This window comes from Homo sapiens, chromosome 1, assembly GCF_000001405.40.
Source record: "Homo sapiens chromosome 1, GRCh38.p14 Primary Assembly".
In the NCBI taxonomy this organism is placed as follows: Eukaryota; Metazoa; Chordata; class Mammalia; order Primates; family Hominidae; genus Homo; species Homo sapiens.
Window position 1 is genome coordinate 64,471,741 of NC_000001.11, and position 27,107 is coordinate 64,498,847.

Sequence of the window (27,107 nt, forward strand, 5' to 3'; positions counted from 1 at the left end):
CCATTTCTCCAGATTGTTTATCATGTCCGTCCTCCTCGGGAGAGGAAGGAGGGCTGACAGAAAAACTGCCCGCAGCTAGTAAGGAATCCTGATGATGTTACTCACGACCAACAGTAGTAAAAATTGCTGAACACCAACCACCTGGAGATTCTGCCCCGCTGTTATTTTAATCCACTTGGCCATAAAGGCCCACTAGATTAGGAGAGGTTGAGATGACATTCCCAGCTTGAAACCTTTGCTATAACATTCTTAGATAAAATAACACCATTCTCTTACACATTCTAACAATCATGGGGATGAATGTGGTCTTCGAAAGATTGAAGTTTCCAAGAATGCGTTCTTGGAATAGGTTTCTGATTTCCATCCTACTGTGACCACTCCTTCCACCTCCCACCGGGAGAGGTGTTTAAGTCACTTTTGGGATTTAGGTTTCTTACTTCTTTCTTCTTCGTCGCGTCGTCCTCCTCGTCTTCTCCTTCTCTTCTTTCTTCCTTCTTCTTCCTCCTCCTCCTCCTTCTCGTTCTTCTCCTCCTCTTTCTTTTCTTTTTCCTTCTTCCTTCCTCTTCTTTCCACTTCCCCACACCAATCTCCTCCCAAGAGGTTACAATTTTCTTGAGGAAAGTTCCACAGACCTTCTCTACTGTGGGGAAAGACCACCGGAATTTTTTAAAGGGTGACATGAGGACTGAGGAGTGGATGGATTTTGAAAGGTAATTTTGCATTTATTTGCAGACACCCAGCCCTGAAGTGCAATGGAGTTGGGTTTTCTTGATTTGCATAATAATAGATAAGCTTTTAAGATGCATCATTCAACTATGCCGATCTTTCAGGTTCAGATTCAGTTGCAATTTTTTCCATATGCATTTTCTGATTTCTGATTATTGCTGAGTTCTTAGGAGTGAAGTGACTTTTAGAAAAGATAGAAAACTAGGATTAAAAAAACAGTGGTGAATATTTCCATTCAGAGCACAATTGTATTTTTGCATTGAGGCACCTCTTTTAATAAAGGAAACTTAATATATTGGAGTTGTGGACTCTGCTTGTAGGATTTGTAGGCACTTGCCACCTTCACTCCATCCCTAGGGCTGGACAAGAAATCTTAGGATTCCCCCCTATCCCGCCCCCCCACGCCTTTTCCTTGTAAGCTAAGGACTTGCTTTTTCTAAGATGCTGACAGCCATTTTACTGTTTCTCACCCAGTCCTTGACAAAAGGTGAAATTGGATCCCAACACATTGTCATTCAGGTAGGGATCCTAAGCAAATGTAGTTTTAAAAGGCTGCCCTGTTGAAAAAGACACTTCGAAAAAAAGCTCTGATCGGTGGGGGGTTTGTGCCCAAATGGTCCTTTATCTCCTCCCAACTGGCCTCTTTCTAACACCTTTGCAACCTCATTGTGGAAACGGACCTCCTGTGGACAGGGTTTTGTCTGGCAAAATGTGAAGTGGCTTCTCTCCTTTTTTGAAAGGAGACACACATACTGTATTTAAATTCTGCTTCTTGAGCTGTACATTGATCTGCCACTTGCTTCTAACTGGGAAAATTGCAGAAAGTGTCTCTTTTTAATTTAGTTAGACTGGTCGGAAAAAAAAAAGTCGAATGCAGGTTAGATTTTTGGCCTTAGAACAAAGATTTTGAGCCCCACATTCTCATCTGTAAACCTTTGGGATTTGTTCAGTGGGTCTGAAATTATGTGGGTTTAGTTACCTAAAGTGTAGGTTATATAGCCCTCCCTGCAGCATGATGGATTTTATAGAGGTGGAGCTAATCTGTTTTTCAGAGGTAAGCCTCACATAGGCTTTAAGGTGTGACTTCCTACGAAGATGGTCAGGGTGGGGGTGGAGAGGGGGATAGTTGTGTCTCTTTGGAAAAGAATGTCTTCCCTTGCTTAAGGGATTGACTCCTTTCATTTGACCTTGGCATTTTGAGCATAGTACAGGCCTTTCAGGACACCATCTCACTTTATGAGAAACATTCTATAGGCCTCTTTATATGTAAAAAGCCAATGTTCAGACTTTTATATTGCTTCTGCTGCTGAAATTCTCGAAAGACGATTTTAAAGTTTGAGAAATTATAAAGTAGCCCTCAAACCAGGCCTGTTGTTTTGCAGCATTTCAAGTGGCAGCACTTACTGCTTATAAGGAGTTGCAAGGGGGTAATTTTACAAAAACAAAAACCTAGGCTTCTTTTAGCACTATAGTTTCCCATGACGTAGTTTTCGCACTTGCTGATAGAGAAGACAGTTTGAAAAGCGTCTACCTTGAAGATTTTCTTGGAAAATTCTCCAGTGGGGGCTGCCTACTCATGATTTTTGTTGTTCCTTTTTAATAATGGACAAAATATATTTTAAAAAATCTTTAAATAAGTTGTGCCAACCAATTTTGCCAGTACTCTGGGAAAGCTGTCACTGAATACTGTTCCCCTGACAGCAGACATCATACATCATGGATAAAAGTCAAAAACCTAATCATCATCTCCTCATGGGTCTGGTGCAGAGGAGCCATGGTGGCATTGAGGTCTGGGAGCAGTAAGTGGCTGTGTCCAGGGAGACGGGTTTTTGCCTATTTATTCATGCAACAAGTTTTTATCAAGCAGCATCGTGGAGTGGAAAGAGCCCCACATTGGGTAGGTAGAGACCTGGATTCCAGCTCTGCCATTTGCAAGTTGGGTGATTTTATCTGTAAAATTGAGGATGGTGATTCTTCCTCAAGATTTGCTCTGTGGACTTAAAGGAAATAGTGCATGTAAAGGCATCTGTTAATGTTAAGCCAGGGCTGAGAAATATTGATGGATGTGGTTGTTCTCAAATGGAGAAATGATTATTGGAAGCTTACTGAGCATGGAGCTCTATGCTGGGTATTCAGGGGATTTTACAAGGACGTATTCCAGCACAACTCCTTAAGGAGTTTACATTCTCGAGGAGGAGATAAGATTGCACAGGTAAACCAGCTAAGTAACAATGCCTGCTTGTTAGAAGGCATATCTGGCTCTGGGAGCCATTTCGCCAGGCACTTATAAGGCCCATTTAACATTATAGGACAGTACAGGCTTCCTAACAGCAAGGGCCTGGCACAAGGCCAGTGTGCCTGCCTTAAAGTTAGCCCAACTCTGCTGGGCTGGGCACACTTACTATGAACTTGGCAGACAGACCAGCAGGTTGGTCAGACAGCTGCTGGATGAGGCCTGGGAGGGAGGGAGGAGCAGGGTTTCTTCCAGTCAGGGCAGAAGAAATACCAGAAGCAAGAACTGGAGCTTCAACTCCAATTGAAGAAAAAGCAGCAGCTAGAACAGAGGCATGTTCAGGAACTGAAGGACTCAGCTGGGGCAGAAGTGTCAAAGATATAAAGCAATGTTGTAAATACTGACTACAGCTGGAATTAAAGAGCAACGCTTCTTTGTATGCAGTAAAACAACAATGCACTAAATTCCTTCCTTTTTTTTTTTTTTTTTTTCTTAAGAGACAGGATCTTTGCTCTGTCACCTAGGCTGGAGTGCAGTGATGTGATCATAGTTCACTGTAACCTCAAACTCCTGGGCTCAAGCAGTCCTCTTGAGTAGCTGAGACTACACACACATACCATCACACCCTGCTAATTTTGTAATTTTTTGTAGGGATGGAGTCTCACTCTGTTGGCCAGGCTGGTCTTGAACTCCTGGCCTCAAGTGATCCTCCCACCTTGGCTTCCCAAAGTTCTGGAATTACAGATGTGAGCTACTGTGCCTGTCCTGCATTATTCATTTTCGCATATATCCAACAAAATTTTGGGGAGCTTCTGCTCTATGAAGGGTCTTGGGTTAGATTTTATTTATTTATTTTTTATATTTTGAGATGGAGTCTTGCTCAGTCACCCAGGCTGGAGTGCAGTGGCGTGATCTCTGCTCACTGCAACCTCTGCCTACCGGGTTCACGCCATTCTCCTGCCTCAGCCTCCTGAGTAGCTGGGTCTACAGACGCCTGCCACGACACCCGGCTAATTTTTTTTGTATTTTTAGTAGAGACGGGGTTTCACCATGTTAGCCAGGATGGTCTCGATTTCCTGACCTCGTGATCCACCCGCCTCGGCCTCCCAAAGTGGGGTTAGATTAAACTGGCAATCACAGGTGACTAAAGCCTAGTCCATGCCCTTAATCTGTCAACTAATGATGGAAATAGACACAAAAAGAGGCATTATGATACAGGTGGTTAGCGAGAGACATAGAGGCATTACACTGCAGTAGGTTAGTGCAGTGGTAGAGAGAGAAACAGGATATTATGGGAGCATAGAGGAGCCTTGCCCAAGCCCCTCTGGTGAAGTCAAGGAAGTTAGCTACTTCTCCATTGTCCTTTTCAGTGAAATGTCCACACACACAGGCCAGTCCTGAAGGAAGCAGCAGCAGCAGCAGCAGCAGCAGCAGCTTCACACATGAAGGGTAGCCAAATCAGTAGTTCATTAGATGTTTCTGATTCCTTTGGTGGCACTGGACAAGGTAGCTCGTGTATCTTGAACACCTGAACAGGACTCTGACTCCTGTGCCCCTTCATATGGCTCCCATGTCTCATTTCTTTGGCCATTATCCTAGAGCTTCTGTGGTTATTGGACATAAATATCTTGCTGGCTCTATTATAACTGCAAGCTGATTTGCAGTCATGTTTGGTAAGATGTGTAATTTCCTCTAAATCACATGCATCATAACAGGACAGGGCTGGTTTAGAATGATTTGAATGTGTAATTACGCAATATAGAATATTTTCGAAGGAAAAATCACCTGTATATGCAAATAATGTGATTTGATTCTACGCCTTGTGTACCATATAAGCCTTAGTGGAAAAACTGCTGTGTTGCTTTCTTTTGAAAATGGATATTTAGAATAGAAGAAAACTGTCCATTGACGGATGACTCTGAGTTGAACTTGTCAGGAATGAGCCCAAGAAAAAGCATGTTGAATGACTTCTGATAAACTGTCTCTGTTGTGCTTAGCACTTCCTGGACTTCCTTCTCACTAATGCCTATCTTTGCTGGCCTTATTCCTTGTGCTTATTATGTTTTTCCTGCCAATAGTACTTGAGTCTGGAAGGGCTTGGGGGAGGGAGAGGAGATGGTTTTACACTTAGTAACATGTTGCTGCTATTTCTGGTTGCTGCTTGAGGAGTTCCTTCCTTGAGCTTAAGTGGATGAGCAGGCAGGAACCTTGCAGAACTCTGGAATTTTGGTATTAGATGGAGTGGGATTTATTTTAGATATGCTTGGACCTTGGAGTAAGAATTTATTGAAAGTCAAAATATGAAGGGACAACAGGGACAAGAATTTTGACTCAGCCAGTTAGTTATTAACTGTGTAACTTCTGTCATGTTATTAAATCACTCTGAACTTTAGTGTCTTTGTATTTCATGTAGCTAATGGGAGTAAATATATTTTAAAGGATAACCAAGTGTCTAGCTCAGGGCCTAAGGTAGGAGCAGTCAATAAACAGAAATGTAAATATGAGAGCAGTTCATTTAGTGCCAGGGCACAGAACCGGGAAGGTGGTAAACATGTAGCTCCTAAGCCTGAATGAAACTGAAATCTAATTTGTAGACCTGCAGATTTCAATATGGTCAATCCTCTGCCCCCAGGTTTTTAAGATATGGTTCACGGACCTTTGGATGTGGTGCAAAGCCATGCTTGGGGCTTTCTGAAGAAAATGCTAGACCTGGCTAGTCATAGTTATTTCTTTAGTTTTAAACTACAAAGATTTAAAAACATATACAAAAGTAAATAAAATAGCATATGAATATCCACATACCTCTCACCCAGCTTAGACAGTTATTAATTGATGGTCAGGCTGGTTTCATCTCTACCTCTGCCTCCACTTGCTCTTCCCCCCAGATTATTATTATTATTATTATTATTATTATTATTATTATTATTTTATTTTATTTTTTTTTTTGAGACGGAGTCTCGCTCTGTCGCCCAGGCCGGACTGCGGACTGCAGTGGCACAATTTCGGCTCACTGCAAGCTCTGCTTCCCGGGTTCATGCCATTCTCCTGCCTCAGCCTCCCGAGTAGCTGGGACTACAGGCGCCTGCCACCGCGCCCGGCTAATTTTTTGTATTTTTAGTAGAGACGGGGTTTCACCTTGTTAGCCAGGATGGTCTCGATCTCCTGACCTCGTGATCCACCCGCCTCGGCCTCCCAAAGTGCTGGGATTACAGGCGTGAGCCACCGCGCCCGGCCCCCCCAGATTATTTTGAAGCAAATTCCAAATATCACATAATTTCATCTATGACATGTTTATTGTATCCTTATTTAATTTCTATATTTGTAATGTTTTATAATATGTATAATATATTGGTACACTAGTATATAAAATTTACAATTCACAAATAAATATAAATATTTTGGAGGTTGTTTAGGCTACATTTTTTAACAATGATGTGCCTGAATAAAACCATTGGTGACTCTCCTAGATTTTTACAAATTAGTTAATACCTTTGCCCAGCAAATTCCCCAGCCTTCCAGTTGTAATGCCAAGCTTCTTTGGGGAAGCTCCTCTGGGTCTGTCCCTAATTGTGCTGTCTGGCCCTTGATTTCATGCCTGGCTTTCTCCACAAGACTGGGAGGGTCCTTGTTTTTCTTAAAGGCTGGCATATAGTCTAGGCACACACATTGGACTACTGCAATATGAACTGCATCTACTGCTTGTCCCTGTTCTCTCCCCCTTCCAGAAGAGACAAGAGTCAGAAAAGGACTAAGCGAGATAGCTGTAACTGGGAGAGAAGAGAGGCAGATTGAAGAGGAAGAGCTGGACTAATATATAATGTCTTCTGATCAGTCTGTCAGCAAATATTCACTGGATTCCTTATTGCAGGGAGGCTGAGAGTGATACAGGACATCCAGTGCCTCCCCCTAAGACCCCAGAGCTCTGTCCTATCCAGAGAGGCTAAACCAACTTGGATGGCTCAAGACAATATAGAAATAAACGCTAAAATATGGGATCTAGAGTACACCCAGGGTTGCTATATCGAATTCATGTTTCTAGAGGTCAGTTCAACACAATGAATGAAGTGGACCAGGTGTAGGTAAGCAGGGAGTGGTGCTGGATGTTGCAAGCTGGAGGACATGTGCCAAGGGTGAAGGGGGGCAGGACCACTCAGTTACTCTGTTGCCCAGTAGCCATGTGGGTCCAATGTTGTCACATGACTTTGTTTTTTATGAGAAGCTGGGTGTCTGTTTTTTCCATAAAATATCTTTAAATTTTTGGCAACTAATTCAGTTTAAAAAAAAAAAAAAAGAAAAACACACTATGTGGGCCAAACCAAACATGTCTGCAGGCTGGATAGGGCCAAAGGCCACCAATTTGCAGTGTCTGGGTTAGAATTATTCAGCGGGTTACAAAAAGAAAATGCAGTGCTTGTGTGCAGGTTATGGGGAAGCCAATTTCTTTGTGATACAAAGGAGAACTTTCTGATAGAAGAGTTCTAGAATGGATTGCTTTGAGATATGAGCTTGTCATCATAATGACTTCAACACAGATGAATGTTTACTTGGTGCCAGGCACTATGTTAGGTTTGAGATACCTACCCATCAGTTAATTTCTGATGTAATGAATGTTATGAGAGGAGGTTCAGGATGCTTGGAGAAAGTGTCAGGGATGTTAACCTATTTAAGGGCACAGAGGGATTCTGGCAGGCCTCCCTAAGAAAGTGGAATGAATTAGGAGTTGGTTAGTGAAAGAGTGGACCTCCCAGAAGGCTCCTTTTTGAGGAAAAGCATAGCACCTTTGATGAGTGGAAAGATGGCATTATGGTTTTGGAGTTTAGAGAACTAGTGGGAAGAAAGGGCATAAATAGAGGTGGGAGAAATAGGCAGAGGTCAAGCTGGGGGCTGTTTCTTGGATCCTTCATGTCAGTAAAGACTTGTTCTGCGGGCAGCAGAACACTCAACTCACACTGGCAAGAAAGGAAGCTACCACCCTATGCGGTTGAAGTGTCTGGGGTAGATCTTTGGGCAGGACTGGATTGGGGCTCAAAGCATGTGGCCAGTATGCTGTTTTTCTCCCTTTGCTTGCCTACTTCTTAAATAGGTTCTCCCCTCTATTTCAATATGGCTGGCAGTAGCTTATCAGTGTTTGAGTTGGGAACTAGCTGCTGCTTGTGCCCAAGTTCCTTGTATTTGGAGGTGGTGTGCTCTGAGGAGAAGAAACAAAAATCTGGAGAAAGCTTAGAACCTAGAAAACTCAGCCAAAGTGACTTCAGACTCAGACACTTCAGCAGTCACCAGTTGCCAAGGCCTGCTACATTTCTGGATTCTGCCTCCCCAAGTCCAGTTGGAGCCTGCAAGGTGGACTCCCTGCTTCTGCTCCAAAGACAGGCTGGCTGCCCAGTGTGGTCCCTCCTGTGGAGTTGTGCAAATCCAGGCTTATCAGGCCTGCCATTTCTCCCTGACCTCTCAGATCTACAGATCACTGGCTGCTATGAGAACAGGGATGGACCAGAGAGACAGTCAAATCTGCCCTGCTTGTTTTACAAATGTTCATTTTACAGAAACTGAGGCCCAGCGAGGAAGTGGCTCTCTGGAGAGCACACCAGTAGTAAGTGACAGATTCAGAACTCATGTTTTGGTTTTAGACTCTTGTTTTTTGACCCTTTTCGTGATATTATACTGTGGGGGCCCCTTTTTTTTCCGCATTTTTCTCTTAGAATGAAAAAGAAAACTTGACATAGTAGTATACATTCCTCTTTTGAAAAGAAAGTTTGGCTTAATGATTTAATGGCTGTAAACTTAAAGCTGATGGTCTCATTTGACAGCTGACTAGATTTTTAAGTTGTTAAATACCTAGAAGTCAGTGAGCCAGTGAAGAAAGTTAAAAAATTCTTAGACTTACTAGAATGTTGTTAGATTTTTTTTTTAAGTGCAAAGGTAAGTGGTCAATAACTATCATTGCGAACCAGTACCATCCAAACAATTTTTATTTTTTTATTTTTTTTTTTACTGAAAAGGTAAGTTATTTAAAAATACTTTAGAGGAGGAATGACTTTGTTTTGTGTTTGTTTATGTAAAAGCCACAGAAGAAAATTCCACCTGTAATTTTCAGGTAAAGTTCTATTTTGAAATTGGATTTTATGACCTACATCTCTCTCCCTAGTCATTAAGGGGATATGAAGTTGTTTCTTTCTCTCTCTCTCCCTTTTTTTTTTTTTGGGTGAAAATTGCAGTAGGATTACTACTTTGGAGGAATCATTCATTTAATTTGATGATGGAACAAACTAAATGTCATTTAAATGTTTCTTTACCTTGCCCTCTTTTTTTCTGAGTTCAAAGGTAGCTTTCTCTACTTCAGATTTGCACAGTCAAATGATTTCAGAGTTAATTACAGTTTGAAAAGTTCCAACACCTAAACACCAGAGTGGGGAATGTAAAAAGTAGCTTATGGTCCATATTTCTCTGGATATAGTATGCTTTATTGTAATTGTAGAGTGGAAGCCAGGGGAGTAAATTCTTATCTTGTACATGATAATGTCTTGGTTCTCTTCCAACCATAACAGTTATTATAAAGATGCAGTCAAAGCCCAAGACGGCAGCATTTTTTTTTCTTGCTTCCCCTTGGATTTTCATTTTATTTTATTTTTGCATGGAGTATTTTTAAAGATATTCAAGGCCCTGGTGGAAGGACGGTGAAAATTGGCAAACCAGTGAAAATGAATCTGAATTTTTAATTAGGCTTTGAGTTGTTTCTTCAAAGTGTGGACACATCATTAGGGATGTAAGTCTTGTTGCATTAGCAGAGACTGACATTTTACTTCAAACGCAGAGAGTGCAGCTGTCCTGTGCAGATAAAAGTCGCCAAGTATGGAATAGCAAGGTGGATTGGTAGATAATTAGCTGTCCCACATTACTGCAGTGTGGAAGAAGCCTGCCAGTCATGGGCAGGAAGGAGGAATTATTAGCAGGAGAAAATCCAAGTGTGTCATAAAGCAATTTGGAATCACTTCAGCTGTGGCAGAGCTGATAAGGCTTATGTTAAGGAAAAACAGAAACTGAGTCTAGTATATGGTGGCCAACTTTTCTTGCTTTCTTTTAAATAAAATCTTAATTCAAAAAACAAATTGCTGGAAATTAATGATCTATAAATATGCTGAAATATAGATTCATCAGTCTGCTTGACTCTATATATAAAAATTTAACCAGCTTACAGTAGTTTTATTTCCATGTCACTTGAAAATAAGGTAAGGATTCTATATAGGAAAAAATATATTACAGAGAAGCCGTGAACCCATGGCAATTACTGTGCTGTATATTACCATTAAAAGATATTTGAAGAAGAAAATTGGAAGTATATCATCTCTGATATAAATGTATAATATTTATAAATGGTTTCAGGATATTTTCATGTCTGTATTACTGGTAGCATATGTCTGTGTATTTAAATATTTTAAGAGTTTTTCTGTGATCATTGCATTCATTTCTAAGGGACTAGAGGTGTAGAAAGACCTGTTGGGTTTCTTGTCCATCCTCTATCATTTGCTAACTCACATGAAACTTCATGGGATTTTTTTTTTCCCCACTTGGATTACTCCGTGTGCCTCTGCCAGAATACTGGCCTTCTTTGTTCTAACACAATCCGCTTTAATTGATTGGCTCTCTCTAAAGCCTATATTTCTCATGACAGCCCAAAGACAGGATGTGCTGAAATGGGTTGGTTTCCATAACTTTGCTTGGTGGTGCCTGAACAAGAGTTGCCCTTGGCCACTGCAGGAGACAGCCAGTGCTTTTTGCCGCTTTTTCTGCTCCCTTTCTAGGGGACTGTTAGTCACAGAGTTGTTGCTGCTGTTGTTGCTGCCCTGAGTGGTTTTGGGGGAAAACCTGGAGAACATAGATTGGGTTTGTTTGTTTGTTTTCTGTTGCAGTCTTGGCTATTTGATCCAGAATTGGCTTCACTGAACCATTTATGAAAAGGGGAAATTTGCCACTTCTGTAGTCTTCAGGGGGGTTAGCCTGTGTGCTAATTATGAACCAAACACATTTGTTAGGAGTGTTTTAAACTTGAGATAGTATAATTTCAGATGACCATAAAAGAGGCAAATACATTATTTGCACATATTCAGATAACAAATGTAGGCAAGAGTTACAAGCAGTAAAACATCCTGGAGATTACTTATTAGAGCATGAGCTCTTGCAGGAAAGAACACAGACTTACTCATCTGCGTAGTCCTGGTATGGTTACCCCTGTCTGTGTCACATCATGAGGACTCAAAAAATGTCTAGACCACAGACATTGCCCAGCAGCCCTTAAATGGTAGACTTTGTAACTTTTTAGTAGTTACTGTTACAAATTTAGCTTTTACTACTGTGTTTAATGTGTCCATTTCATTACTTTAGAATTACCAGGAAATGTCTAGGGTCTTTATCTGCTACTAAAGATTAAGAATGTTTCAGGTGAGTAGAAGTATCTGCTACAGTATCAAGCACATTAGGACTCTAAGTAGACTCTAAGTATTAGTTGGTTCTAATGTTTAATATATTCACCTAGAGAAAGTTGGGCTACATTTAGGAATGTAAAACATACAAAAATGATTGTGTACTTGCAAACTATATACTTGAAGCTGCTTTATCCTAGAGGTTAGACTTCATTAGTTAATTCATTTCACAAATCTTTATTGAACACAGACTATGTGCCAGGTATTATGCTTGGATTTGAGTTTATGTTGTCACAAAGAGACTTGGTTCCTACTCTTATGAAATATGCAGCCTGCTAGGGGAAATAGACATTAAACAAATAATCTTATAAATATACATTGTAAATTTTGAGTAATGTTTTGAAGGAAACATGGGGCCTTTAGAAAGAGTACCAAGGGCAGGCTGGGCTGGGTGTGGTGGCTCACTTTGGTAATCCCAGCACTTTGGGAGGCCGAGGTGGCAGGACCCCTTGAGGCCAGGAGTTCAAGACCAGTGTAGGCAACATGGTGAGACCCTGTCTCTACCAAAAAAAAAAAAAAAAAAAAAAGTGCCAAGGAGATCTTTTAGAAATGCAAGTCAGATGTCATACCTCTGCTTAAAACTCCCTAAAGGTTCTCATCTGACTCAGTAAAATCCTGAATTACTGGTGGCCTTCACAGCTGTATGTGATCTGGCCCCTGCCACCTTTGTGACCTTATCTTTTACCTTCCCCCCCCCCCTTGCATATAACTCTGTTCTTTCAGCACTCCAAGCACATTCCTGACCCAGAACCTTTGAACTTGCTGCTCCTCTTGCTTGGGAACAGCAAGAAGTATCCTTGCCAACCCTCTTTGAAACAGCACCGTCCCTTGCCCTTCCTCATTGTTTCCTACCCTGTTTCTTTTAGTGTTCGTCATGCCCCCTAACCTCTCACAGGTAAGCACTGTATTGTTCAATGCTATATTCCTGTAGAATGGTGCTTGGCACTTAGAAGTACCCCATAAATCATTATTGGACAAGGGTTAGCGGGAGCGACAACTCTAAAAGGGAATCTGAAGCAGTGATGGAAAGGAGGAGCCAATCAGGGGAGGGGCTGGGGGCCTAGTAGAAGGAGGAACCAATCAACGGAGAGGTTGGGAGGGGACTTGGCAGAAGGAGGAGGAGCCAACCAGGGGAGCGGTTTAGGGGGTCTAGCATTCCAACAGAAGGAAGAGGCTTTGTAGAGGTCTTGAGAGACAGGACCTTGGTGTAGTTTAAGAACTGAAAGAAAGCCAGGCGGCTGACAGCATACAAGCAGAAGGGTGATGTGAAGGGAGGAATTTGGGTTCTTATTCCTCTTCAATTCAGGTATATTTCCCAGTAGCTCTTTTAGGCGTGGCCAAAAGTGTACAGTTCTGTGGCATTAAATACTTTTCATATTGTCGTGTAACCATCATCACCATCCATCTCTAGAACTTTTTCATCTTCCCAAACTCTGTACCATTGAACAATAATGCCCCATTCCTCCCTCTCGCCAGTTCCTGGCAATCACTGTTCTACTTTCTATCTCTCTGAATTTGGCTACTCTAGGTACCTCATAAAAGTGGAATTAAACAACATTTGTCCTTCTGTGACTGACTTCACTTGGCATAATGTCTTCAAGGTTCATCCATGCGTAGCATGTGTCAGAATTTCCTTTCTTTCTAAGGCTGAATAATATTCCATTGTGTATATGTGCCACATTTTGTTTATCCATTCATCCATCAATGGACACTTGGCTTGCTTCCACCTTTTGGCTACTGTGAATAATGCTACTACAAACATGAGTGTACAAATATCTGTTTGGGTCTGCTTTCAGTTCTTTTGAGCATGTGCCCAGAAATGAAATTGCTAGATCATATGGTAATTCTGTTTGTCCGAGAAACTGCCGTACTGTTTTCCATAGTGGGTGTACCATTTTACTTTCCCACCAGCAATGCACAAGGGTTCTAATTTCTTCCCCTCCTTACCAATACTTGTTTTTTGTTTGTTTGGTTTATTTGTTTTACAGTAGCTATCCTAATGGGAGTGAAAATATACACTTTTTGTTGAAGTTTCATGAATTTTGAAAATGCAGTCATGTAACCAACACCACAGTCAAGATATACAACAGTATCATCACCCCCCAAAATTATCTGATGCTGCTCCTTTATAGTCAGTCCTTTCCCCACCTGAAACTCCTGGAAACCATCGATATATTCTCCATATCTATAGTTTTGCCTTTTCCAGAAGAGGATAAATGGAAACATTATGGTGTGCATTTTGAGTCTGGCATCTTTCATTTAACACAGTGCATTTGAGATTCATCCATGTTGTATGTATCAGTAGTTAATTCCTATTTATTGCTGAGTACCATTCTGTTGTACAGATATGCCACAGTTTGCTTACCCATTCACTAATTAAAGAACATTTGAGTTTTTGTAGTTTTTTGTTTTGTTTTGTTTTGAGACAGGGTCTTGCTCTGTCACCCAGGCTGGAGTGCAGTAGCATGATCACAGCTCACTGTAGCCTCCACCTCCTGGACTCAAGTGATCCTCCCATCTCAGCCTCTTGAGTGGCTGTGACCACAGACATGCACCATCATGCCTGGCTAATTTTTGTATTTTTTGTAGAGATAGGGTTTCACCATGTTGCCTAGGCTGGGAGTTTTTTGATGTTTCAAATCTACTATTAAACATTCAGGGTTTAATAGTAGTTTTGGGTTGAATGTAAGTTTTCATATTTCTAGGGGTGGGATTACTGTGCCATATGTTAAGTGTATGTTAAACTTTATAAGAAACTGCCAGTCTATTTTCCAAAGGGGCTATATTAGTTTGTATTCCCACCAGCAATGTATGAAAGTCCTGGTTGCTCCACAGCCTCACCACAACTTGGTAGAATCTGTCATTTTAATATAAGTCATTGTAAAATGTGTGAAATGGTATCTCATTGTTGTTTTAGTGAATATTTCTCTAATGAACAATGATGCTGAGCATTTTTTCATGTGCCTATTTGCCATTAGTATATCTTTTTTGGTGAAATATCAAAACCTTTGCTAATTTTAAATTGGGCTGTTTATTATCGATTTTTAAATAATTTAATGATTTTTATTAAATTTGTAGCATTATGCAATGAGCACCACTATCTGGTTTTATAACATTTCCATAACCAAAAAAGTTTTCACATATTCATTTATTGTCAAGTTTTGAGAGCGCGCGCACACACACACACACACATACACACACACACACACACACACATACACATACACACACACACATACACACACACACGTATTCAGATGTGTTTTTTATCTTCCGGATGTGGACTAAGTTCTGCTACTACAAATTGATTTTCTTTCGAGTGACATTGTTCTCAAAGGAAATTTGCTTTTATTATTTAAATAATAATGACATCCAGGATTAGAAATAATAAAGTGTAATCCAGGGTGTATAGAAATCTTCAAGAGAGCTGTGAGTTTTGCAGTTCTTGTTTTCAGCTAAAAACAAAGCATTATTTAGGATTTTTGGGTCAATGTGGCCTGTGTAGAATCTTGGGTTTAGTTAGTCAATCTGCAAGAAACTGTAGATTGAACTTCTGTTATGCACAAGCACAGCTTTGGGAGCTGGGAGCACACTGATGGATAGAACAGAGTCCCTGCCTTTAAGGAGCTTACATTCTTATAAGAGGGAGATAAATATTTAAACATGTAAATGCTAAGTACATGTAATGTTGGACCCTGACCAGTTCTGTGAAGGACATAAAGTAGGTTAACATGGAGTTCAAAGAAGGCTTCTTGGGGGTGCTGATATTTGAGTGGAGGCATGAATGATGATTGGTAGCAGCCTAGGAGGACCTGGAGTAAGGAATAAAGCATACAGAGACCTGTGGAGGGAAGGAGATCAGTGTGTGTGAAGGGCTGAAAGAAGGCACTGAAGAAAGGTGGGAATAAAGGAAGATGAGCGAGGATAGGATCACTGTGGAGAACAAGTTTGGATTTTGTTCTGGCTGAAATGGGAAGCCACTGGAGGGTTTTAGGCACAAGAGCAAGGGAGTTGGCTTTTGCTTAGAAGGATCCCTCTGGCTGGTTCCATTTTTTTCTCTTACTCTCTTGGCTCTGTCACCCCCTGGCTGTCAGTTTATCCTCAGGCTGGTTTTGCCTGTAGTAAAATGAGTACATTCAGTAGAAGAGGGCACCTTTCTCCCCCCAGGCTTTGAAGGATGCCTTGGGCTCACTCTGATTGGACCTTAGTGGAATACAAGAGAATGGGATTACATTAGTTTATGCCAATCAGGACCTACTCCTAGAGCCCAAAGCTCCTAGAGCTGGGTTGATTCTACTCACATTTTATGACCTACACAATCCAGTGATTTGGATAGCAGAGAGGTGACACCAATATTTACTACAATTATCACTGTTACCATTCCACTGGCAGTAGACTACAGGGAATGATTTTGATCATTTTGGCTAGTGTCTTGGTTATGCTGGACCTCCTTTTTTAAAAAAAAAATGTAACTGATTATCTACTTAGCACCTGCCATACCTAATTTCAAGACAGACATGAAACAAAGGAAATGCATGGTGGTGTTACGTCAACCATAGTGCCAGGAACTGCTTAATTCATTTGGTTAGTAGAAGAATTCAAATCAATTAGTTTAGAAGGCAATTCTAATACTTTATGTATTTGAATATAATTTCAACTTTTTGTGAGGTGATGTGATTGTGGTTTGGAATTGTCCATGCTGGTGGGGTTTACATTTTACAAACATATTACTACAGATACAGCTTCAAAATATAATATGTTTTATAGATAGAACTGGGTTTTTAAGTAGCTGGTGGTAGATGCTTTTATGATTTATGTTTTGTAAGTTTCAATTCTTTGACCAATCTCTGTTTGTCCATCTCTAATTTCTGGTTGGCTGTGTCTGTTCTATGATGATACTGAGAAAAGTTACAAAGAGAATTGGTACTTTTGGATGTGGTTTTTAAACAGCCTGCAATTGTTTCATCTAATTAGTGAAACTAAAATACATGATTTTTATAAATGATTTTTGAGAGGTTTCTAGTTCCCAAAAAATTAAAATCTATTCGGGACAGTTATAGAGAATTCATTGTACAGAGAATCTCATTATGACATAGTAAAATATTATTGAGGTGAAGTATGAAAACATCCTTTTTGAGTTTATCTTCCTCATAAAAATTTGTCTTCTATTTGATGCAAATCAAGATTATATAGGACTTGCATGTAACCTGGTAAATTTCTTGTTGAATTTTCATTTAGTGTTTTTTGCTCATAAATTATTGAAGTGAGAGTATTGTGGTACTATTTTCCAAAATGTCTGACATTGAATGAAGAGGTGGGAGGTCTACTAACATAACAGTATGTTCCTCCATTATTCTTTCTTTCAATACACATTGTGCATACAGCCTGCCAAGCTGTGTGTCTTATCCAGTGAATTCAAGTATCTTCCATTTCGTTAGAATTTGACTTTCATACACTGGTTCTCTTAGTTACAAGACTGAGATCAAAATTGTGTAGATAAACATTGAGCTATTCTTACTTTTATCATCACATTAGAATTCTATAAATGTCTTTTTCCTCAAAGCATTCACATCACTGTAGAACACCTTTAAAACATTAGAAATGATTCTCATGTTGAAACAATTTAACCAGGAAAATTAAATAAATAAGAAACTAAATAATTATTTAACATATATTTAAAGTCTGTTACTAGCCAGGTACTCTGGTAGATACCTAGGATAGAAAAGTCAACCAAATACAGCCCTGCTTTCCTGGAGTGAACATTCTACTGGGGGATTAGTTAGTAAGCAAGCTGGGAACAGCAGGGGATGAGGGTCAGCTCTGGGAAATCATGGGAGATTGTTCATAAGCAATGGTGGAGATTTTTGCTTGATGGATGCCCATGGGTCATGTTCCCTGGAGGATTGTGTTTCAGGGATTAACTCTTTTTAAGCTAGTCTGTCCCAAGCTGTATTTCTTATTTATGGCATTTTTAGACAGCCCACGAGTGGCCTGTAAACAATTACTATGCTTCATTCTTCCTCTGTGTGTTTTCTATAAACCTTCAACTTGGTTTTTTATTTCCGTCTTATAACTGAGCTGCCAGTTGCCCTGAGACTTTTTCCATTTTCCAATCTCCCAGGAATGCTTACCTTTGTGGGCTTTGTGGATGTGATTTTGAAGAAGGAGTGAGTCCTCCAAACTAAAAGCCATTTTTAAGTAGTGCAGAGACCTTCCCCAAAGGAGGCGAGAGATATGGATGATTCCAGGAATCCCCAGTTTACAAAGAGTCTGGATTTCAAAGCTCGTTTCAGAGTCTGTTGTCTGGAACAACATTCACATAGAGGGGTTATAAAAGCAGACCCCGCTCTCAGGCCAACTCACAAAAGCCTGTTTAGGAGAAATGGGATTTTAATCCAAGCTCTTTTGCTATCCTTCTGAACCTCAGGTTTCTTACTGTAAAAATCAGGGCTGTTTCCACCGTCGTTGTAGAGTTAAATGAGATGAGGTTTGTAAGAATATCTAGCACAATGCCTGATGCCAGAGGTCTCAGGAAGTGTTTGCTTTTTCTTCATGTGAGGATACATAATGCTAAGTCTTCAGAATTTTATACTCTACTCCTCACTTCTAGATTTGAGCAGCCAGGAAGAGTCCTGGGTGTGTGGGGATGATAGATGAGGAGGATGAATCTCCTGTTATTAAGGATGAGGAAAAGGGGAAGTGTTATAATATTATTAGTTCCTATTTATTGAGCATTTACTATGCACTGCATACCATGCTAAGCACAAGTTAAGTACTGGCTATTATTACCTAACTTATACATACCCCAGTGGACCAAGCTGGATGACAGAATGTCCATTCCTAATTGCCTTAGCCAAAGGGAGTTGTACAAAGTTACCTAATTCCCTTGGCCAGAGGTACAAATAGCTCCATCTCAGCCCCTGCCCACTTTCAATGTCGCCCCTGTCCACCGATCAGGAATAACTATTTGGGGATATTTTTGTCTGTCACTAAGCATTTTCAGCAAAAAGGAAGATATTTTTCAAATTCCCAAAGGGCAGAAGCAGCCCTCTCTCTGGTACTGCAGGTCTGACTGGGCATGGTTTCCTCTTGAAATGTCTCCTTGTGATGTTATAACTTAAAAGATGGAGGGCTGTTTGATCCAAGCCTAGGATTTGTTGGCTACAGGGTTTTCGTTAATAGAAAACATTCATGCACCTCTAGGGGGGAGAAATTAAAGCACATACTTCTTCCTGTTTGACCTTCGAACCCTTGCCATTTACATCAAACACTCACTGGGAGAGAAAGCTAATTTAATAAACTGTGATAGCTTCTTCTCTAACAAGCCTCACTTTAAACTTGGCATTTTCTCCTCAAGCTGATGAGTTTCTGTCTTCTCAGAAGATGTGTGTACCCTTCAGACATCTGAGGGGAGAGAATGTACTTTGTGGGTGGTGCAATGCCTTGCTAATGTCATGTTCTCCCTTCAGTGAGTTTCAAAAATAGCTTGCCTTTTAAGAACAATTACAAAGGAGTCGTGCAAAGGCAGAGTGACTTGGCTTCAGCAAGCCTCAATTTCTTGATCTGTAAAATAGGGATTTTACCCTACCTCAAAGGTTGTAGTGAAGACCAAAAGCAAGAATTTATATAAAAGTACTTTGTATCATGCTTTTTCAGTTATAACCTTTTATTCTCAGGGAAGTCAGCAAATGCTGGTGGGAACATAGATGCAGAGCAACATTTTCTCTCTCCAAACATGGACTGAAAACTCTTGCCCTTTAATTTTCAGAAAACCCCCCATCCTGTGGGGTTCTCATGTAAAAATTAAAAGATAAAAATCTAGAAAAATCTTTGCTTAAATAATTTTGAAAAAGTAAATAAATAATTGAACCTGTCTAAAATCGAGAGACCAGTATGATATGACTAATATTAATAATGTCTAGAATTTGTTACCCTGCTTAAATTTGGTCAGGGGTTGCTCTCAAATGGTCCAAACTATAAACATGCAGTCCATGAATGCCAGGGTCCCTGTATATAGTAACTAACCCAAAGCACTGGGAAAAGCAGTACCTTTCTTCAAGGACTGCTTCCTCTCTCTCTCTCTCTTTTTTTTTTTTTAAAGAAATGATCTCCCTCTGTTTTACTCTGTTTTCACACTGCTATAAATAATTATCTGAGACTGGATAATTTATAAAGAAAACAAGTTTAATTGACTCACAGTTCTGCATGGCTGGGGAGGCCTCAGGAAACTTACAATCATGGTGGAAGGCAAAGGGGAAGCAAGGCATGCCTTATACATGGTGGCAGGAGAGAGAAAGAAGAGCAAGGGGGGAAGTGCCACACTTTTATACCATCAGATCTCATGAGAACTCAAGAACTCACTATCACAAGAAAAGCAGGGGGGAAATCCACCCCCATGATTCAGTCACCTCCCTCCAGGACCCTCCCCTGACACATGAGAATTACAATTTGATGTGAGACTTGGGTGGGGACACAGACTCAAACCATATCACCCTCTGTTGCCCAGCTTGGCTCACTGCAGCCTTGACCTCTCATGCATAAGTGATCCTCCTGCCTCAGCCTCCTGAGTAGCTGGGACTACAGGCATGCACCACCATGTCCAGCTAATTAAAAATTTTGTTTTTTGTAGAGCCAGGGTCTTACTGTCTTGCCCAGGCTAGTCTCAGACTCCTGGACTCAAGCAGTCCTCCTACCTCAGCCTCCCAAAGTACTGGGATTACAAGTGTGAGCCACTGCACCCAGCGGTTTTTTTTGTTTGTTTGTTTTTTGTTTTTTTTTTATTAATAAAAATTAACAGTGAGACACTAGCTTTGCTGTGTTGAAATCATATACTGTACTTGATTTCCTGAAAGTACCTTTCACTAGTTTTTTTTCTTGACAAAAGATGGTTTGAAACTGGAACTTCCCTCAGTATTTCTGTTTGAATTTTAAAAGATGGAAGCTTTTTTTAAAAAAAGAAATTTGGAATAAAAGGTGAAGAAAAAAATTGTTTTCATCTAGGTAGCATTATTCATTTGGGAAAAAGAAGACAGTTGAAGAAATTATTCTATACCTGCAGTTTAAACAACTTATATTTTGGAAATGTTTTATCCTTAGCAAAAGGCTAGTGGAATTCTTTGTTGCTTGAAGAATAACGGCACTTGTATAACTTGAGAAAAATACGGGGAAGGATGGCCTTTATTCTGATAGCATGGAGTTGGGTCCCCCTATTGTTTTCTTAAAACAAGCCGTTGACCAGCAGCTCTGGCCTCCATGTCCCCTTTGGCCTTTGTCTGTGGGTACATTAATGCCATTGGACAAGACCAAATGGCTCCTGGCTTCAGATCTCTCTAGGCCAATCTCACAGGATGAGTTTTTCTGCTCATCACATTCCTTCTTGGAGATATACTCCTCCCCGTTCTGATACTTCATCATATGCCACACGGAAACAATAAGCTCCAGGTGCCCAGCAGCGCTGTGCGGTTACTCCGCTGATCGTTAGAGTTAACGTCAGTGTAAAAGACAGCACCGCCACTGGGACTGCCTGGGCTTCCTGTCCAGTTATTTTTGTCTTCTGGCACAAAGGTGATTATCAGGTTCATTTTTTCTTAGCCTAGTTTAATACTGGTGATTCATGGAGGACATGTTGATGTGAAAAGAACAGGAAATTTATCCTTGAAAATTCAGCTCTGACATAGCCTTCTCTAGAAAGATGCCTGTTTTCTTACACCTAAGCTTGGGTTGCCCTTGTGAGATACTTAGCAGTAGAGACTACATCTGCTTTCCCTGAATCCCTACCTTCAATAGTGCCCAGGCCAAAACTAGGCCCTCAGTAAGTGCTGAAGGAATGAATGAATGAATTTGGAAGGAAAGACTTGGGGCTCCACTTAATCTCTCTGGACTTTGTAACACGGGAGTTGTTAATATCTGTGTCACAGAGCTGTTGTCACATCAAACGAAATGTCTCTAAAATCCGTTTGTGAACTGGGAAATCATTTGCATATCTTATAAATGTTTGGAAATGCTTTTTGAGTGAAAGATTTTTTATTTTATCTTATGTATAGCTAGGTAAATAAAAGGACATTCCACTTATTACTATGGGTAAACTTGCTTTTTGTGTAACTTTAATTCTTCTCCAGGAGGAGGTGATCATGAAGAAATAATGAGGTGAAAAGCTGAATCCTTCATGAAGCCAGTGTGATGACCCATGAGGGGCTTAATAAATATATAGTCGAGCACTTCACTTACCTATTTTGAGAAAATGCATCACACATTTTATTGGAAAATTACTTGTTACATTTTGTGCTTCCTATTTCTAAAGATTTGGGAGACTGTGGAAAGTGCATATTACCACATAGGGAACTATTATGCCTCTCTTCTTACAACTTAGAGGAAGGAATATTTTTGCAAGAGTTATGGCCCATAGCTGGACAATATAACAATGCAAGTGGAGGAAAGGAATTGTGCAGATACCAAACGGCTCAACCCAGGGGTTGTGGCAGCCTCATTGGACAGTTTTGTCTATACCTTCTTTTCCCCAGGGAATTACCAAGAAGAGTGGAGGCCCCCTGCCACTAATTTTAAATCCTCCCTCCTCCCTGCCACACACACCTTTTCTCCTCCCTGCAGTGGATTTACACACATTTTGTGGGGCTGATTTAGCGAGCTCGTGGTTCTCATAATCTCCTTATAGAAGTGTATGCACATTAAGGGGACCTATTTAATAGACACGGCTGCCTCTGTGAAAGAATGCTTTGTGGAAGGGAGCCTTTGTGTATTTCTCCATCTCAGCAGTTCCTGGGGCGCTTCCCAAGTCTCTCTGTCACCGAATGGCAGAGCTGGGAAGGACCTGCTCCAGAATAATGGGAGGGAGCGGTGGGACAAGGGAGGGAGGAGGCGGCCAGCGTTGGAATGTGGAGACCAGGGTATTGGCACTTCAGAGCTGAGCATCTTAACATTTTCTCTTCTTACCCCCAGCTGGGGACTTTGCATTTGCAATGAGGGCCCCACTTCTCTGAGCCCTAGTGAAAGTGGATCACTTTAAGCCCACAACAATGGTGGCTTCTTATCCTCTTAGTTAATGCTTTAGATAACTTTTCTTTTAGACCAGGTAGGGGCTTGTAAAGTGGGACTGTGGCTCTGGCCTTGCCTGGTAAGACACATGAAATTTTCTCATCTTTTCTAACTATCTTCCCTCCCCTGTTTTCTCTTAATTTGAAAGAAATCTCTGCATTGGTAAATGTGGACAAATCAAGCTGTGTTAGTGACATATCTCCAGCAGTTGTCACGGACGAGATTTATTTATATAGGATAGCAATTCTCGAGCTCCCCAACAACATCCCAAAGCTTTGGGATGGTTCTAACGACAAAGAATTTACATTTCTCTTTCTTTAGTCTGATTTGGAAGCTCCAATCTAGAATTTAACCATGTAGTAGCTGCTTTTATTTGCTACCTGTTACCTACCAGTGAAACCACAAGGCTAGTGGAATTCTTTATTGCTTAAATTGACAGGATATGGTTGCTTAAATTGCTAGGAAAGGGGGGAAAATCTCCTAAGAACCACGTTTTATTGGTAAGTAGAACTTAAAATAGTGCTCACTTTTTTTAGTGTTTTTTATGTGCCAGGCATTATGCTAAGGGTTAGAGTTCTATTTCTAATGCAGATAGCTACTAGTTTCAGAAAGAGAAATGACTTATCTAAGATGTGAAAGCCACGAAGTGGTAGATGTGGGGTTGAAACCCATGTCAGCTTCTGCTTGAGCACTTAGGATTATTACATTAATTGATTCAGCATTTAGTGAGCCCCATAATATTTGCTGTTGGCATAAATCTTGTTTCTTTGTGTAGTGGTCTCTTTGTGTGGGGGGCTCTGGAGAATATGGGCATGGGTTATGAGAGGAACTGGTATTAGTTACAGTTCGGTCAACAGGAAATACTTTACAGATCCAGTGGTTGAAAACACATTTGTTTAGATCATTCCTCTGTTCCAAGTAAGCATGTATTGGAAACCAACCTCCCCTCCCCTGCTTAGGGAGAATGGAATGTATGAATATATATAGAATTAATTTGAAAACTGGAAATGAATGAAAATGCAAAGTATTATTGTCATCATTATTAGAGGAAGAAAAAGAGAAAAGGAAAGAAAACCTGAGGATAGAATGCTAAATTCCAGCCTTAGGTAAGTTTATTACAGTATACAGTGTCTATGCTATATTCTGGAATTCTTTTCTCATGTATTAGGAAAAGCTCTCCTATATAATCTTAATTTATTTCTTTTTGACCTTCTCTGTTGAAATAAATGGCTACCATCTCTTCTTATGTACTTGAAAAACTAAGTTCTCCCTTATCTTCCAAGTGTGAATGACCACACAAAAGGGTATGTCCCCAATGTACTTGGTCTGTCTGCCTGGATTGAAGTTGGCAGATAAACTTTGCCCTCAGTTCTTGATAGGGAGAGAGATGAAATGATAGATAAACATGGGCAGAAAGAGAGCAATACAGTGCTTTTTATTTGACTCCAAGCTAAGAGAATTACTTTTTTTTTTTTTGACCCTTTTTGAACCTGAGTTGCTGTAATGAGTTTTCAAAGAGCCCTAGCACCAAAGTCCTCAAATTTCTTCATCTAAGCCTACTTTTTTTTCTTCTTTTTCTTCAAGTTATGGCTGTGTCTCCTGCTTTTCCCATTTCTTCCCAGGCGTGTCTTTCACAAAGAAATACAACAAAAGTTGGAATATCTAATCCATTAAAAGAAAAAAGAACATGTATGGACTTTTCTCCTTTGTTGGCTGGGACCTTGGTAGCTATATTTTCGTTTTATTATAATATATTTGATTAGCTTTGAATGTGCTGCCAAAGGCAAGAGGGCACTTAATACCTTTGCATTTTATAATGATTTGTTTGCCAACCTGGCCCATGTCCCAGACAATGCATCCTAGAACATGAGTGGTAGTGAAAGTGACTTGATGTATGTTTAGTGCTTATTTGAACTACATTCAGGCCTATCCTTTGAAATTTGTGGTGTATTTCACTTCTGGTAGTAGGCTCAAGGTTCTATAAAGGATGTCAAATTGTGCAAAATTGCCCCACCTCAGTCTTACTGAAAATATTTTGATTGCTTTTTAGCTTATTATTAGTAGTAGTAATAGTTGTAGTATTTAAGTTCAGCCAACCTAGAATATTTAAGAGGAGATGTGCTGGAGTGTCAAGAAAAATCTAGTCATCTTTGAGGTAGGAAAAATTATTCTACATCTGGCCATATATATGATGAAGGCTTGAGCTAATAACTTAGCTTCTCTGTGCTAGTTTCCTCCTATAATCTAGTAAACAACCTTCCCAGTCTAATTTTCTAGGATTATTTGCTGACTCAAATTTTTCCAGTCTTGTAGCCAATGGCATCCCACTTGAGGTTCTTATCCTACTTGAAACTTATAGCTTACAAACTTCACAGCCTTTGGGTGAAACTAGAGTGTGTTCTACCTAACATGAAACTTAATAGTGGAGACGGTGCACTGGGAATTGAGAATAAGAATCTGTTAGAGAGGTGAAGTGAGTCAAAGTCTCTTCCAGCTGAGCCAACCTCGGAAAGCTTTATTTATGGGTCAATTTATGGGTCAATGAAGTCACATGACATGGACTGCCTTCCTACAGGACACTCGTGCATGGAAGCCCAATTTCCTCAAAACCTAGATTTTCCTTAGAAGTTGTCTCAAAAAAAAAAAAAAAAGAAAGAAAAAGAAAAAAGAAAGCTTTGCCTAAGTGGTTTCCTGTCCTTAAGGTTTCCATGGAGAGAACATTTTCAAGATTAAAGGAGTCTAGCTGTCATTTTTAACCCGAGGGGTCTTCAGATTTATGTTTCAAAGCAGGGTGGGAATTTGGTCCTTAAAAAAAAAAAATCATGTTTACTTTTTCTTCAAAAAAATGCCGAGGAATTAGCCCATTGGCTACTGATTATTAGCTTTGCAGTAAAAAAAGAGTGAGAAAGAGACATAGTCTGTAATTTTATAGTGCCTCCAACACTAAAATGAAGGCAGAGCTTTTTTCTTTCTGCCAAGGATGCTACAGGGCTTTGATTTGCAGTGGTCATCCTTTGATTATCCAGTCACTCGGCTAACATTTTTTCAGTCCCTACTCTGTGCTTCCATCGTGCCTTGGGAGGCTTTAGGGTAGATAAAGAAAAGGACACAGGCCTTGCATCTGCTTATTGTGCTTGTGGGCTGGGGGAAATAAAGACAGTCCTTCCTAGTTTTGAAATTTCACTTTCAATTAATTATAGCCAGCAATGGTTGGCAAGGAAAGTAGGGAAAGATGGAAGAGCCCCTTAACCAGAAAGAATTAGGAGATTTCAAGGCCTGTTGAAATTAATGTGATGGTTATGAGAACTGCAGCTATTTGGAGTCATATAGTTCAGGAAAAAAAATACCCCAGAGAGAGCCAGGAATCAGCAGGCATTAAACCCTGGCTTGTTCTCCTGGTAAATGAGTCAGCCTCTGGCGGGAATATAATCAAAATAACAACAGGACACATCAGCATATCAAAAAGGGGCAGAGGGAGTTTATCAGGGGCCAAGAGTGAGCACAGACTAGATCCCAAGCCCTTTGACAGGCATTTGGGCATTCCTCCTTTCTCCAGAAAACCTTTCCAGAGTCTTCCAACAGTGGGGCAATATACCCTTAAACAAAACTGTGGCACGCTGGGTGTGGTGGCTCATGCCTGTAATCCCAGCACTTTGGGAGGCCAAGGTGGGCAGAACACCTGAGGTCAGGAGTTCAAGACCAGCCTGGCCAACATGGTGAAACCCTGTCTCTACTGAAAATACCAAAAATTAGCTGGGCGTGGTGGTGCGTGCCTGTAATCCCAGCTACTCAGGAGGTTGAGTCAGGAGAATTGCTTGAACCCAGGAGGCGGAGGTTGCAGTGAGCTGAGATCGTGCCACTGTACTCCAGTCTGGGTGACAGAGCAAGACTCTGTTCCTAAAACAAAACAAAAGAGTGTGGCATATCCTCATGGAGCTAACAGACAATTAAACAAGAGGTTCACCAAAGCTCGGAGAGAGCTACCAGAGAGAAGGCATAGGGGACTCACAACAGCATATAGATGCTAACTCATGCAACTTGTAAAATCACTCATGTACAGTACCAAATACAGTGCGTGCTCCAGCATATTAGAACTACTTATTCTCTTTATTTTTTCACTATTCGAAACTGAAATACTGTGTTTTCTAAAACATTTAGTTTAAAACTGTATTTGATTATATTCCTTGTATCATCATATTTCTGAGATTTTTAAAGTTTACTGCATCTTTACTTTTGTGCAGGGAGGCGCCTTCCTTATAGAAGGAATCTGAAGCTCAGCGCAATGTGGCTTCTTGCCCATGTTTGCTGAAATAACTCGTGATGGGGCCTAGATGAAAAGCTCAGTTTCATGACTTTTGATCCAGTGGCACTTCTACCACACTACAGCATCTCTCAGTATTTGAAATGTGAAAAAAGATTGAGTCTCAAGCCCCAGCTTCTTGGTTTTCAAGTCTTGCATGCAGAGTCTTAATTTCAAATACTTCTTGATATTCTGATCTCTTGTCTCTCTATCAGGACTGACATCTACAACTCAGTTGTCTACTCTGTCTCCTATTCTTGAGTAAGGTGTTGACTACCTTGCTGGGCTGACTTGGTGGTTTCCCCTGGGAAAATGACCA

At 40.5% G+C, this 27,107-nt stretch overlaps 1 protein-coding gene across 3 annotated transcripts in view, besides 3 other annotated features; it reads left to right on the plus strand.

Moving 5' to 3' along the window:
- Nucleotides 1-27,107, plus strand: part of CACHD1 (cache domain containing 1) — a 222,925-nt gene that overhangs the window by 1,612 nt on the left and 194,206 nt on the right. The window contains exon 1 of one of the 3 annotated variants that reach the window (XM_047426235.1): nucleotides 436-710. The exons of the other annotated variants lie outside the window; for them this stretch is intronic. Within the exon in view, the coding sequence (XP_047282191.1) occupies nucleotides 679-710 (32 nt within the window). The 5' untranslated portion in view covers nucleotides 436-678. Of the gene's footprint in view, nucleotides 1-435; nucleotides 711-27,107 lie in introns of those variants that run through there. 3 annotated transcript variants of the gene reach the window in all.
- Nucleotides 518-1,303: an enhancer, noted in NCBI's record as "OCT4-NANOG hESC enhancer chr1:64937941-64938726 (GRCh37/hg19 assembly coordinates)". NCBI's record gives its function as "activates a minimal SCP1, AML or CMV promoter by ChIP-STARR-seq in naive and primed H9 embryonic stem cells {active_cell/tissue: H9 hESC(naive and primed)}" and the evidence as "EXISTENCE:reporter gene assay evidence [ECO:0000049][PMID:30033119]".
- Nucleotides 1,304-2,089: an enhancer, noted in NCBI's record as "OCT4-NANOG hESC enhancer chr1:64938727-64939512 (GRCh37/hg19 assembly coordinates)". NCBI's record gives its function as "activates a minimal SCP1, AML or CMV promoter by ChIP-STARR-seq in naive and primed H9 embryonic stem cells {active_cell/tissue: H9 hESC(naive and primed)}" and the evidence as "EXISTENCE:reporter gene assay evidence [ECO:0000049][PMID:30033119]".
- Nucleotides 22,158-22,803: an enhancer, noted in NCBI's record as "OCT4-NANOG-H3K27ac hESC enhancer chr1:64959581-64960226 (GRCh37/hg19 assembly coordinates)". NCBI's record gives its function as "activates a minimal SCP1, AML or CMV promoter by ChIP-STARR-seq in primed H9 embryonic stem cells {active_cell/tissue: H9 hESC(primed)}" and the evidence as "EXISTENCE:reporter gene assay evidence [ECO:0000049][PMID:30033119]".